The sequence below is a fragment of the Homo sapiens genome (assembly GCF_000001405.40).
Source record: "Homo sapiens chromosome 16 unlocalized genomic scaffold, GRCh38.p14 Primary Assembly HSCHR16_RANDOM_CTG1".
Lineage (NCBI taxonomy): Eukaryota > Metazoa > Chordata > Mammalia > Primates > Hominidae > Homo > Homo sapiens.
The window spans coordinates 1,561,028-1,577,102 of NT_187383.1; the positions used below are offsets into that span (position 1 = coordinate 1,561,028).

The 16,075-nt window shown below is 37.1% G+C and overlaps 1 long non-coding RNA gene across 1 annotated transcript; it reads right to left on the minus strand.

Moving 5' to 3' along the window:
• Positions 1-10,470: 10,470 nt before the first annotated feature.
• LOC105379544 (uncharacterized) lies at positions 10,471-12,420 on the minus strand. The gene is made up of 3 exons (XR_001756145.1): positions 12,357-12,420; positions 10,647-10,675; positions 10,471-10,548 (listed from the first exon to the last, which is right to left on the minus strand). It is a non-coding gene; the product is annotated as an uncharacterized LOC105379544 (long non-coding RNA).
• Between the last annotated feature and the right edge of the window lie 3,655 nt (positions 12,421-16,075).

Genomic DNA, 16,075 nt, shown 5'->3' on the forward strand with positions numbered 1-16,075 from the left:
CTGCCCTGGCCCTGGCCCTGCCCTGGACCCAGCCATAGACCTGCCCTGGTTGGTCGTGTCCTACCTTAACCCTGTGCTACCCTGGACCTGCTCCACCCTGCCCTCCGTTTGGCCCTGCCCTGACCCCACCTTGGCCCACACACTGGCCCTAGCACAGACCTGGTCCTATCTGTGGCCTTGGCCTGGCATTGGCCCCTGCTCCTGACCCTGGTCCTGCCATGGCCCTGACGGCCCTGGCCCTGACCCTGTCTTGGCCCTGGCCCTGAACTGGCCCTGCCCTGACCCTGGCCCTGAAGTGGATTTGCAGGTGTCTTGTCCCTGAGTTAACCTGGTCCTACCATGGCCCTGTCCCTCTCCTGTCTCTGTCCTGGTCTTGTGCTGACCCTGACCCAGACCTTGGCCCTGCCCCAGCCTTGTCCTAGATCTGGCCATGGCCCTGCCTCTGCCCTGGACCGGCGCTGGCACTGGCATGGACCCCCTGGCCCTGGCCCTTCGCTACTTAAGGCCATACCCTGGCCCAGCCCTGATCCTGACCCTGTCCTGGCCCTAATTTGGCCTGGCTCTACCCTGGCATGCTATTCTGGCCCTAGCCCTGACCCTGTCCCTGTCCCTGTCCTGGCCCTAGCCCCGTTGCTGGTCCTCCCATGGTCCTTGTCCTGACATTGCCCTTTCCTGGTCCTGGCCCTGGCCCTGGCCCTATCCCAGCCCTGGTCTGGCCCGGGTCTGAACTCTGGCCCTGCAATGGACCTGCCTTGGTCCTGCCCATACCCTGGTTCTGGCCCTACCTCTGCCCCGGCCATACCTTTGCCCTGGCCTGGACCCCGGTACTGGTCCTTGTCCTGCCCCAGCCGTGGCCCCAGCCCCGCCCTGCCTGTGCCCTGTTCTATCCTGGGCTGGCCCTGCCATGGCCTGGTCTTGCCATTGCCCTGCCCTAGCCTGCCCCGCTTGTGCCCTAGATCTGCCCCGACCTTTGCCCCTGTCTTGGTTCCAGCCTTGACTCAGCCCTGGACCTTCCCTGACCTTGCCTCAGCCCTGGCACTACCCTGGCCTTGGCTTGGCTTTGCCCTACTCTCTCTATGGCCTGGCTCTGGTCCCGCCCTGCTCTTGTTCTGTCCTGGCACAGCCCTGGCCCTGGCCCTGCCGTATCACTGGCTCTGGTCCTGCCCTTATGCAGGCCTAACCCTGCCCCTGCCTTGGCTTTGGCCTGGACCTTGGCTGTACAGTGACCCTGTCATGACCCTTTCCTGGCCCTGGCCCTGGCCTGGAACCTGGCCCTGCCAAGGACTCGCCCTGGCTCTGTCATGGCCCTGGCCCTTTCCTGGATTTGGATGTGTCCTGTCCCTTATTTGCCCCGGCCCTTCCCTGGCTCTGCCATACCCCTTCTCTGGGGTAGGGCCAGGGTCAGGACCAGGGTAGGGCCATGGTAAGTCCTGAAGATGGGAAGGGCCGGGGCAGCGGCAGGACCAGGGAAGGGTCAGGGCCAGGGATGTGGTAGGACTAGGGGCAGAGCCGGCACTAGGGCTGAGCCGGGGCAAAGCAGGAGAGATTACATTAGGCTATTATGTAAAATGTTTATTTTAGATTTTTAAGATAACTATAGTAGTAGTAATAATGTCTATACTATGTTGTTTGTAATAGTAATAATATTTGCAGTAAATAATCACTAAATTTTAACTAATACTATTTGTGCTTCCAGTACTGTTCTATGAGTATAATTTTATCAATATGTAAATTTGTGAGGCATTGATTCTCACAATAATTCTATGTGCTAGGTACTTAAACCATCCCCATTTTCCAAATGTAGGAAACAGGCATAAAGAAGTTAAATACTTGGCCAGATTACTCCAGTAATCCCAGCACTTTGGGAGGCCAAGGCAGGCAGATGGCTTGAGCTCAGGAGTTTGGAACCAGCCTGGGCAACATTGTGAAACCCCATCTCTACTAAAAATGCACAAAAAGAACTGATTTAAGTTTCTTGTAGGATTCTGGTTATAAAACACTGGTAAAATACACAGGGCATGGACAGGGCAGGGCCAGGGACAAGGTCAGGCCAGGAAGGGGCCAGGGCCAAGGCAGGGCCAGAGCTGGACTTGGAGGTGTCCTAGTCTGATTTGCCCTGCCCCAACGTTGATATCTTAAAACTTCATTAATTCATCTCTCTTTGCCCTTGGTTCAACATTGTGCTATACCAAAACTCATGTAAAACAATGATCTAATGTAATAAAAATGGCATTTTTCTTTCATGTAGATGCAAGGTAACTGGCATTTTTACAATCAACATATTTCCTTTGTCAATTTTTCATTCTGTATTGGAAGTAATTGATAGATATTTCTGAAGGGATGAAGGTGTTTCTGTGTTCATTGTGATCCAAACTTTTTTTAGACCTAGTGGCATTTGTAAAACAATTTGTGCCAGCTGACCAAGGACCACTGTGGCAGAAAGCAGCAAACTTGCATAAGATGTCACTGCCGCATAAGTTGGCTTTGAAAACTAGGGGCTTACTCTATAGTCTTATGAATCAGAGACATTGATAGATGTAGTATAAGATTACAATCATATTTTCCTTTTGACGGTCACATTATAAAGCATGATGTATTGCAATTAATCTCAATTAGCTGATCACAATTAAAATTAATAATGTTGATTATTGCTGATGAACAATCATGACTTCTGTTCTCAAATGTGAAAGTAATTCTTGTAATTTTAATACAAATTTACATATTATTACTAATTGATTTACTCTCATTGGATTTGGTTCATGGATCCAATTTATTAAAATATTGATAATGGGATAATGATTTGTCTCCCCATTTCATTTACACTAAAAGCCACAATTCTTACAATGGTCTGCAAGCCCATCATGATTTGCCGCATGTTAACCGCCAAAATTCTTTTATATCTTCACCCTTGATCTTACCAGTGGTCCTGGCCACTTCACTGTCCTCTGGACATGCCAACATGCTGCTGTCTTATGACCAAGACTCTAGTTAATTTCTTGGCTTGGAAAGATAGCCCTCCATATATCCATTGATCAGCTCATTCAGCTTCCTCAAGTCTTTACTGAAACCTCACATTCTCGATGAGACCTATTCAGTATTTCAAACTGCCTCCCAGCTGCAGCATTCCAAAACCCCTTAGTCTTCTGTGTATTTTTGAAAGGATTTATTGAGACATAATTTACATAGTGTAGAGTGCACACACTAATGTCTACAAGTCAATGGCTTTTAGTATATGCACAGATAAGTGGAGCCATCATCACAATGAATTTTAGAGCATTTTCATCACTTCAAAAAGAAACCCCACCTTCTTTAGCTGTTAACCTCCCATGCACCCATCCCCTACTCAATCCTAAGCAACCACAAAGCTGTTTTCTGTCTCTATAGATTTTCCTATTCTATTTTCATCTAAATAGAATCATACAATAGGTGGCCTTTTGTGCCTGGCTTCTTTCAGTTGGCATAATGCTATCAAGGTTCATATGCGTATTGGTACTTTATTTCTTTTTATAACTGTATAACATTCAATTTCATGGATATAACATTTTGTTTATCCAATAATATTTTATTGACATTCGAGTTGTGTTCAGCCTTTGGCTATTTTAAATACTGCTGCTAAAAATACTTGTGTACAATTTGTGTTTGAACACCTCTTTCCAATAATCTGGGTGTATACCTAGGAATAAATTTCTGGGTCATATGACAATTCTATGTTTAATATATTTAGAAGCCAACAAACTATTTTCCAAAGTGGCCAGTTTTAGCCATAGAGTATCTAATTGTGGTTTTGATTTGTAGTTGCCTGATGAGTGATGCTATTGAGTATCTTTTTATGGGATTATTGACCGTTCGTGTATCTTCTTGGGAAACACATCTATTCCTATCATTTATCAGTTTTGAGTTGGGATATTTGTTACTGAGTTAAAACAATTTTTCTATATTCAAGATACATATATATACAGACATATAGATACGTGTTTTTCAAATATCTTCCACAGTTTTTGAGCTGCCTTTTGACTTGCTTGGTTGTCCTTTGAAACACCAATGTCTTTAATTTTTAAGAAATTTTAAATATCTAATTTTTATTATGTTGCTCATGTTTTTGGTGTTACAGCTATTTCTTTGCTAGATCCAAAATCCTGAAGATTTTCCCATATGCTTTACTCTAGCTCTTGCATGTATGTCTTTAATTCATTTGAGTTAATATTTTTGTATGTTCTGGGGTAAGGGTTCGAATTTATTATTTTGCAAGTGGTGATCCACGTGTACGTTGTCAACCCAGTTTGTTCAAAGATTGTCTCTACCTCATTGAATTGCACATGGCACCACTGTAAGAATCCATTGACTATAGATACATAGTTTTATATATGGACTCTCAATTCTCTTCCAACAGTCTATTTTTCCTTCATCAGTATTGTCTTGTCTTGATTACTGATGCCTTGCAGTAAGGTTTGGAGCACGGGGGTGTGAATTATCCTAATATCTTTCTTTTTTCCAGACTATTTTGGCTATTTTGAGTCTCTTACAATTCCATGTGTATTTTAGAATCGGCTTGTCAGTTTCTAGACAGAAGTCTGTTGGGATACTTGCAGGGATTTCATCAAATCTGTAGTTCAAATTGTAAAGTACTACAATATTAAATCTTCCAATTCATGGCTGTAAGATATTTGCTAATTATTTAGATCTTCTTTAAACAATAATTTTTAATTTTCAGAGTAAACTCTTGTATCACATTTTCCAAATTAATTATTTTTTTTTGTGATGCTATTGTAAATTGAAGTGTTTTCTTAATTTCATTTTGGGGTTTTCATTGTAGATGTGTGCAATTGATTTTTGTACATTTATCTTGTATGCTGTAATATTGCTGAAATAATTTACTAGTTCTATCATTCAGTGGATTCCTTAAAATTTTCTATATACAAGAATGTTATTTGCAAATAAAGTTTTATTTCCTCCTGTCCAATATGGGTGACTCTTACTTCTTTACTTGCTGATTTGTCCTGCATAAAATCTTTAGTACAGTGTTGACTAGAAGAGGTCAAAGTATATATCTTATTCTTATCTCTGACCATAGCGGGAAAGTATCCTTTCTTTCACCACTAAGTTGAATGTTTGCTGTTGGCTTTTCACAGGTGCCATGTATCAGGTGTAGAAAGTTCTCTATTCCTGGTTCATTGAGTTTTTATTTTTATTTTTAATCATTAAAGCATTTGGATTCTGTTAAATGTCTTTTCTGAATCTATCGAGATGATCATGCAATTCTTGTTTCTTATTCTATGGATAAGATGTATTACCTTAATGGATTTTGGGCTGTTAAACCAACCTGGGATTACTAGTATAAATTTCACTTTGTCATAGTGTATAATTCTTTTATATGTTGCTAGATCTGATTTGTTAGTATTTTTTAAGGAATTTTGCATTTATACTTATAATAGTTTTATTTTTCTATGCTATTTGGACTAACTTTTGTATCAAGGTAACACTGGCCCCACAGAATAAATTGGGAAGTGAATATTTCTCCTTTTAAAAAAAGTTAGTCGAGGATTAATATCAATTATCCGATACTAACAAATATTATTAATTTATAAATTATTAATTTCTCTAATTTTTATTTTCTTCCTTCTGCTTGCTTTAGGTTTAGTTTGCTATTTTTTCCAGTGCCTTAATATGGAAGGTCATCTTCTCTCATCCTTTCCTTTGTCTTTTCATTTTCTAAATAGTGTCTTTTTAGCATCAGGTGAGCTCCCCAGGTTGGTAGTACTCCATGTTTATTGCTGTACAACGACAGGTAATATGTCCTGAAGACAATGGAAACTTAACATTCAAAATCCTCCTAGAATCCACCTTATGTGGTATGTCTCTTCCTTTGATTGGTCCTAATTTCTACCCTTTCTCTATTACAAACCATGAGTACAATGGCATTCAATGAGTTCTGTGAGTCTTTCTAGTAAATTCTTGAAACTGAGGGTGTTCTGGGGAAACCCCTGAACTGGCAGTTGGTGTCAAAAGTGAGAATCGTCTTATATGGCCTCTTCCTTTGAACTTTGCAGCTGGACCCAAACTCTGCACAATTTGGGCCAGAAGTCTCGTGTTGACTTTGCAGCCTAAAGTATCTTGTAGTTTGTCTAACCCTCAATAAATTTGCTTTCATCAAATATTGTATTTGTCACCCCAAAATTACCATCATGTTTTTTTTCTCCGAATAACTAACATTGGGAGAAAGAGTCAGCTGAATCTGTAACTCAACAGAAACAAGTGATCCATATACCATATAAGTGGCCATTTCATTTTGCCTCCTTCCACCAAATCTTAGCAACCTCAACCATTGCCATGAGCCACTATAGGCCTACCAGCTACAAACAAACAAGTATCTTTTTAAAACACTTCATACTGCCATTTGATAAATTTCCCAGCAAAGAGATGCCTACTTTAACTCTATGCAAGTGGCTCATATTCGCGAAGTCTGGAGATATTATTCATGTAGTGTGAGAAAATCATCCCAGCGATGCCAGCACATTCTCCTTCCCATGATCTGCTTAGTTTGCAAACATATTCAGGCCATGGGTGAGAGATTTGTATTTCACAGTACAACAATTTTATGGAGGGCATTGAAACTTAGATTGAGCATTTTAGTACAGTCACACATCACTGAATGATAGGGATACGTTCTAAGAGATGCATCCATAGGCAATTTCTTCATTTTGCAAACATCACAGAGAATATTACAAACACCTAGATTGTACAGCCTACCACGTCTAGGTTAAATGGTATAGCCTCTCTCTCCTAGGCTACAAACCTGAGTACTACATTACTGTACTGAATACTGCAGGCAGTAAGAACACAGTGATAAGAGTTTATGTATCTAAACATACTTAAACATAGAAAAGTATGTAAAAATATGTATTGTAATCTCATGGGACCACTTTTGTATATGTAATCCATCTTTGAAATGTTATTATGCATGACATGACTGTATGACAAAAATAAAATAATACATTGTAAAAAATGTACACATGTATCAAACATATTAATATTATAAAAATAAAAATATTCAGTGTAAGAATTTGTAATGATCACAAAATGTTCACAGCTTATATTTTAGTACAGTTTCAAATGCCTAGTGCAATTACTATTTATTTCTGTGTGTATTTTAAACATGTATATAATAAATATTTTTCAGGTTCAACAATATATATCAATCCTACTGGCTCGTATAAATATTGGTTAAAATCATTTAGTAAATTCATGTATATATACACACACGTGTATCAGTGAGTGTGTGTGCATGTATGTGTGTGTAAATGTAATTGTATGTGTGTGTAAATGTAATTGGATGCATCCTAATATTTACCCTTACCTACAAGATTTCCAAGATTCATTTATTATCTTTAGATGATGTATATTTAAAGATTTACCAAATAAAACTGTAATCATGGAAAATATCAGATGTTTTTAAATTCACCTTGTGCACATAATTGTTTCTTTAAATTTATGTTTCTTGCAAAACTTGCAGTAATGCTCATGCACAAAATAATTTTCTAAGTAAAAAATAAAAACATTTTGTCATTCTTAATAATTATTTCTCCCCAATAATTAATGTGAATTAATTCTTAATTCTTAATTATAGAATAATGTTGCCCTTCAGAGTTCTGAAACTTTTGCATGTTGTATACATTTCACTAACTAGAACAACTTCTGAAATATTGGCATTAATTAATGTCACTCAGCAATTATTGATTTCAAAGAAATTAAATACCATTCATATTCTGAATCACAAGGGTACTTTGGCATCTAATTTAATCAAGCTCTTTGTATCATCATCTACACTTTAATTACTTAACAAACATTTCGCTGTGTGAGAAAGACTGAGGAGGTTATTGTGCTTTTTTAAGATGCAACTGTTGCTTAACCTAGAGATAGGCAATGCTCCCTATAAGGGACAAAGAGAAAAATGAATGAGCAATAGAGATGTGACAGGCATGGAAAAAGACAATACATTTATAAAACAAATAGGGCCACAGATGATGAAAATGGGGATCAAATCTTGAGATACTGACTCATTTTATAACGGCACTGTATAATAGAGCAAATCATTTGTTAATTTTTTACAAATGGATTTTAATTTAATTAAGATGAATACAGTGTTTTAAACAAGGCAGGTCATCTTAAAATAAATTAGTAGAATAAAGTGATAAAACCAAAGTAAAAATCATAAATATTTTATAAAGAATTTTTGTCATGTAATTTAATATTTTTGTTTATTTAAAATCACCCAAATCAAAATAATTTTATCTTCATTAATAAATAATCATCAGAAGTTTAACTAATTTTTACTTTATAATACTAGGTTTAAAAATTCTTAACTATATTTGTAATCATATGCTTATATATAAAATAGGATATATATTTACATGTTCACAATATTATATTGTAATTGTTCCTATGGATGTGATTTTTCAATAGAATTAATAAGTACTTTTAAAAATTTTCAATTTCAATGATATATATGTTTGACTTTTCTTTGACAAAGCATACATATATTGATAGGTAATAATATGAAAATCTTCTAAAGACATTACAGGAACATGAAAATGTAATTAAATCCTCACTAATTTGTAATGTTTTATGTAAGCGGAACACATTTAACTGAAAATTGCTTTTATATAATACTCAAACGAGACTAAAAACATTTTAACTAGCGGAGTAAGTCTCCAAATTGATAATCTGAACTATATAAGAGGAGAAACTTCAGGCACTAAAATATTTGAAATGCTACAAAATATTTATATAAACTATTATTTAACAATTTCTGTTTGTAGAGTGCTATACAGTAATCAATATAAATGACATCTCAAGTCTTTCTATAGCTTTGACCACATTTACCTCCTAATTTTAATTATTAATATGTTGGAGCAGTGCATACAACTAGATTCCGATCTTCCTTTTTAATGAGTAAAAATGTGTCCTTTGAGACAGCATTAAAGAAAGAGCACCTTGTATAAATTCAATGCCAAGAGACAAGATATTCTTGATTCTGAAGTCTTGTTCTTTTATACAGCACTGTAATTAATAAGAAGAAGAAAAGCAGGACATAGATGTGGAGTCTATTTTAATAAAAAATTGTCTATAGATTTTGATGATAAAATTTAAAAATCTACTATATTTAGTTACAAAAAAACTAGGTTGTGGGAACATATTTGGTTAATAAACACCCCTACCAAATGCTGACAAGAAAAAAAGTTAGGTGCCACCTTTCTTCTCTGCAGATGTCCTGAGATGAGTTAATTTGAAAGAATGCTTCCAAACCTGAGGTGACCCCTGAGAACAGCATAATCCACTGCTGTCTCCCACATTCAGTTTCTCAGTTTGTGCTCTTTTAATTTTGGGGGGAGGGAAGCCAGTCCTTTCAACCGATCTTCAGCATGATGACAGAGCCAATGAGTGTGGACAGGTGGCACGGTGTCTGACTTTGTTCCAGCAGCCACTTGGGCTTTCTCTGGGTCTTCTCTGCCCTAGGGATAGCACCACTATGGAAAACATGTCTTTGTGACATTCTCTATGCCAGGAACTCCCAACACATTTTCCTTGAAACTGATGAAATGAATAAAAATAAACCAAGAGGTGTGCTGTTTGTTTCTGTTTCCTCCTTTCTGCAGCCCTTCTTGATCATCTAATATTTTTAAATACATTGTTGATCACCAAAAGGAGCATAAGGGGTATATTGATTTGTAGCAGATGTATTAATAGCCCAGCCCCTATTCCTTACTTGTAGCTGCTGGGAAGAAAAGGAATCTTAACACTCTACAAGGTCTCATCTCCAGAACTTGCACCTGTTTCTAGCTGAGGACTTTCTCTAGCAGCACGGGAGCTTGTTACTGGGCATGAAGTGGGAAGAAAAGGTGAGGGTAACTAAGAAGAATCTCCCTGGATTCAGTGATGTAATTCTGAGGCATGTTCCACATAGCTTCCCAGAGAATTAAGCCCAGATACCTAATAATAATGGCTACATCAGGGGTCTTGTTAGTTCTCGTTCTACACTGTCTACGGGTTATTACTATCAGTTTTCTGTCTTTTTTTTTAGCAGTACGACGTGACATCTGTAAAATCTATATTTCCTCTCTTTCTCCTTCCAGCCTTAGTGAAACTATGCTGTAGAATTAAAGCAAAATTATGTTGTGCCCCAGAGCCCCTTATGTCTTGAACTGCTCTCCATATTTCTTCTTCCCAATCTCAATGTGGGGAAGTAAGACCAATTTCAATGTAGTCTTACTGCGAAGATCATGTTCCAGACCAGCAGCTTTAGTGTCACCCAAGAACTTACTACAAATGAAGAATCTCAGGCCTGCTCAATCAGAATGTGCAGCTTCAGCGAGCCCCCACCCCACACCCCACCCCCTCCCCCCGCTGATTTATGCGGGGAAGAGAAGTTCTTCTCTATGTGGATTGAACATGACATTAAACGTGTTTTGCCAAATTACCTGTCCCAGATTTTTCTCCATCCTTTATTTGTGTGGCTATATTCGAAACAGAATCTTTCTCGTCACTTGTAGCCTGAATGGAATTTGAAAGAAAATAATAAATAAATAAATGAAGTATGTTTCAAAGACTATATATTTAAAAGTTCACAATATAAATGAGAGTTTAATTACCTTCAAGGCTGGTGGTTTCTGAGAAGACACTGAAAAACAAAAGGGATACATAATCACTCATATATAAATATGATAAAGTAATCCATACATTCACACAGTGTTAGCATCAAGCTGTAACCTTCTGCCTGTACTGGTGTAGGCTCTGATGTCTTCTACTTTGTGTCTTGGGACTGGAACATGACAGAAATACACTGATAAAAGGGAATACTGTCTCCATGAAATATACCCTTACAATTTCAAACATGTTATGATTTGTCATATGTCGAAAACTAAAAACCGTGTCAATATCAATGTGGATATGTCGATGATGAGGACAAACATGATTTAAAATCAGAGGAGCAACTCATACACCTGAGAATCAATGTCAAAGCAGGTGCTACATGATCCCACATGTCTTTCACGCAAGAAATCAAAAGGATTTACACCATTATACTACAAACATTCATCATGCTCTTTAACTTGCCCAATAACTGAGAAGGCACACAATTACGATGACACTTCAGTTGAACGTACACTTCACATCACTTCAGTGGAAGTGTCCTAAATTGATAATCTTGGATATCTGTTTGCTGATACCTAGTAGATAACATTCATTATCTCTCACACCCATCTGGTGTAATAATGTGCCTAAGTTTCTTTTATCCACTAGTTTAGCCTCCTGAAAGTTTCTTCATCCACTCATGGCACCAAAGGATAATACATTAGCCTCAAGAAAAATATCATCAATTATCAATTTTGACATACTTCTACAAAGTAAAACTGCTACAAGCATTAGATATTAATAAGTTTTTCATTCAGAAATCACTCCAATGTTCATTGAAAATGATCACTTTAGGAGTTCATTAGAATTCTACACAATTTTTGTTTCTAAAATAGTCTTGTTTGGGAATATCACACTATTCTCTATAGAAGTTTCATTAAATAGCTATTTTATCCAAGAGGTAGCTCCTTGAACAAGGAAGCCAATGTATTCATATTCAAGTTTGTCTCATTTCTATTACTAAAATCAACAAAACATGTATCTCTGATGCCTCCTAGTAACAAAGAAGAGTAATGAGTCATTGTGCTTTATCCCAATTCTAGCATTGTTTCCTGCTTCCAGTAGCTCCTGGAGCTGCCAAAATCAAATATTTTTTAGGCAAATATTCCAAATGCATCTGAAGTGAGTTCACTCAGGTTTCCTCAGCAGAAACCCCAAAATTATATAAATAACTTCTTTTCCCTCCTTCCTGCCTCACGATCCGTCTTCCTTGGGAAAATAATTGCTACATCAGGGGTCTCCTTAGTTCTCATTCTACAGTGTCTATGGGTTATTACGATCAGTTTTCTGTCTTTTTTTAGCAGTACGATGTGACGTCTGTAAAATCTATACTTCCTCTCTTTCTCCTTCCACTCTTAGTGAAACCATGCTGTAGAGTTAAAGCAAAATTATGCTTTTCCCTGAGCCCCTTATGTCTTGAACTGCTCTCCATATTTCTTCTTCCCAATTTCAACGTGGGGAAGTCTATAATCTTACTGCAAAGATCATGTTCCAGACCAGCAGCATTAACGTCACCCAAGAACTTATTACAGATGAAGAATCTCAGGCCTGCTGAATCAGAACATGCAGCTTCGAGGAGCCACACCCCCGCCCCGGCTGATTTATTCGGGGAAGAGAAGTTCTTTTCTATTTTGACTGAACATGACATTAAATGTGTTTTGCAAAATTACCTGTCCCAGATTGTTGTCCATCCTTTATTTCTGTGGCTATATTCGAAACAGAATCTTTCTCGTCACTGGTAGCCTGAATGGGGTTTGAAACAAAGTAATCGATACATGAAGTAGGTTTCATAGACTATACAGTTAATAGTTCAACATATAAATGAGACTTTAATTACCTTCTCAGCTGGTTGTTTCTGAGAAGACACTGAAAAGCAAAAGGGATAATCACTCATATGTACATATGATAAATTTATCCATACATTCATGCAGTGTTAGCATCAAGCTGGTATCTTCTTGCCTGTACTAGTGTAGGCTTTGATGTTTTCTACTTTTTGTCTGGAGACTGGAACACGACAGAAATACACTGAGAAAAAAGGAACACAGGCTTCACAAAATATACCCTTACAATTTCAAACATGATATGATTTGTGATACGTCTAAAACTAAAATAAAACCGTGTCAGTATCAATGTGGATATGCCGAGTGACGAGGACAAATCAGAGGAGTAACTCACACACCTGAGAATCAATGTCAAAGCAGGTGGTACATGATCCCGCATGTCTTTCTTGCAAGAAATCAGAAGGATTTACACCATTATACTACAAACATTTGTCATGCTCTTTAACTTACCCAATAACTGAAAAGGCACACAATTATGATGACACTTCAGTTGAACATACAGTTCACGTCTCTTCAGTGGAAGTGTCCTAAATTGATCACCTTGGATATCTCTTTGCTGATACCTAGCAGATAATATTCATTATCTCTCACACCCATGTGGTGTAATAATTTGCTTAAGTTTCTTGTATCCACTAGTTTGGCATTCTGAAAGTTTCTTCATCCACTCATGGCACCAAAGGATAATATATTAGCCTCAAGAAAAATATCAATTATCAATTTTGGCATACTTCTACAAAGTAAAACTGCTACAAGCATTAGATATTAATGAGTTTTACATTCAGAAATCATTCCAATATTCATTGAAGATGATCACTTTAGGAGTTAATTAGAATTCAACATAATTTTTGTTTCTAAAATAGCCTTCTTCGGAGTATCATGTTATTCTCCAAAAAAGTTTCATTAAACAGCTATTTTATCCAAGAGGTAGCTCCTTGAACAAGGAAGCCAATCTATTCATATTCAAGTTTATCTCATTTTTTTAACTAAAATCAACAAAACATGTATCTCTGATGCCTAATAGTAACAAAAAGGAGTAATGAGTCAGTGTGCTTTATCCCAATTCTAGCATTGTTTCCCACTTCCAGTAGTTCCTGGAGCTGCCAAAATCAAATATTTTTTATGCAAATATTCCAAATGCATCTAAAGTGAGTTCACTCAGGTTTCCTCAGCAGAAACCCCAAAATTATGTAAATGACTTCCTCTTTTCCCACCTTCCTGCCTCATAATCCGTCTTCCTTGGGAAAATAATGCCGTAAACCCGGGAGGTGGAGTTTGCAGTGAGCCGAGATCCCGCCACTGCACTCAAGCCTGGGTGACAGAGCGAGACTCCGTCTCAAAAAACAAAAGAAAAGAAAAGAAAAGAAAAGAAAAGAAAATGTATCATTCACTTCTGCTTGCAGGAAGTGCTCTCAATCATTAGTTTAGATATCTACTTGGAGAAAAATTGTTTCTAAAAATACTCATGTTATCCACAGTCATGAAGACTTCTGATATTTTCAACTTCTGGATTCTCAACTTAAGTTCTCTTGCCATCTTTTCATTCACTTATGCAAAAAAAGTATGCATTACACATCAAATAACTAATGAGTACTCAGATTTTCATTTACAAAATGTAACCAAAAATCTCTGAATCATCATTGATTTTTTTTTCATAATGATCAACTTTCTTTTTTTTTTTTTTTTTGACATGGAGTCTTGCTCTGTTGCCTAGGCTGGAGTGCAGTGCGCACAATCTCGGCTCACAGCAACCTCCGCCACCGGGGTTCAAGTGATTCTCCTGCCTCAGGCTCCCTAGTAGCTGGGACTACAGGCACACGCCACCATGCCTGGCTAATTTTTTGTATTTTTAGTAGAGATGGGGTTTCACCATGTTAGCCAGGATGGTCTCCATCTCCTGACCTTGTGATCCTCCCACCTCAGCCTCCCAAAGTGCTGGGATTACAGCCATGAGCCACCGCGCTTGGCTTAATCAACTTTTACATATCAAAATATTTGCCATGATTATGGACAGTTACACTTTTAGTACTCAAGAAATAAATTTCTCGTTTGTTTTTTTCTAGTCAGTTTGATATGCAATAGCATAGCAGCCTCTGAGGTACTTTTATACAATGGCTATTTCATCAAAAACAGCACTGTTTTTAAAGAAAACTGCCAATGTTTTGATATCCAAGTGCATCCCAGTTCACTAACAAACATGAATGAAGCACATATCATTGATGTGTAACCCCTATAGAGAGAAGAAATGAGTTCCTGTGGTTTCCTGTCGTTCTTCTATCCTCTGCTTCCAGTAAGCTCCAAAGCAGCAATAATTTAGTCTTCTCTTTGAGTGGGAATATACTGAGTCTACATAAAGTGAATTCCCTCGAGTTTCCTCATCAGAAACCTCCGAATTACCTAGCCAGCTGCTTTCTTAATTTACACCATCCCACCTCACATTTTTTTTTGCAAATATACTAATGTCCATTTCTCAACAATGAATATTATATTTTGATCTGCAAGTTTAAGTGTTCACCAAAGTTTTAAGAAAAAGAATGTTTAAATTACATTATATTTACTATTAAAATTTAATAAATTATATTTACAATTTAATTAAAATTAGGCTTATAATTTAATGTAATTTAACAATTAATTTTAAATTTATTTTAAATTATATTTAAATTAGTTATATTTATTTTCAAAAATTATATTATTAAAGCATAGAAAATTATTCAGCTATATTCACTGCCTCACCACCTTTGTTTTTTTGTACACAAAAAATAACATTATCATTATTTGATTGCTCTCATGAAGCACTTTTTATAATACCAATACCATTTGCTTTTTGTCCAGTTGCTGGTAGTGCTTTTCATTCCTATTTAAAAAAAAAAAAGAAATCTTCAGAAAATGTTATATTTACTACTCAGTCAGTAATTCAAGAAACATTTTCTGTGTCTATAAATTCATAAGGTCTATACTGGAAAATCTGATAATATGAATAAAATACTAATTTTATTTATTTATCAAGTGAAAAAAGAAATTTATAAAAACAAACAAAAGCAGAAAGACACAATTCATTATTTCTACAATTCAAGTCAATAAAAACAGTGATAGCACAAAGGTAATAACACTTATTTCTACTTGGGAAGCTTCTGAGACACTGCAAATTCAGGGTTCTATTTTTAAAATAGACAAGTGAAGAGTAAGAGTGTGAAGTGTTTCTAGTGAGGGCAGCATGTGCAAAAAAATAAAGCATGAAACAGCATAGCCAATAAGAAATACCACAATAACGTGGTAAAACTTGGACACAGACCGAGAAAGTGGAGTGGAGAGATAAAATGGGAGAAACAGGCCAAACCGCAAAATAAGTGTTATGCTAGAATGTAAATGTTTCTTTCGTGTAATGAGGGTCCAGCCATAAGCAGATGAGTTAGATAAAAGTAAACATGTTTAAGAAAGGTCACCCTGAAAGACATATATAGATAGATAAACATGGGGAGAAGAGAGAAACAAAAACAAACATTCCGAAAGTATAGGGCAGACAGTGTATTACAGTAATAAGATATGAGAAA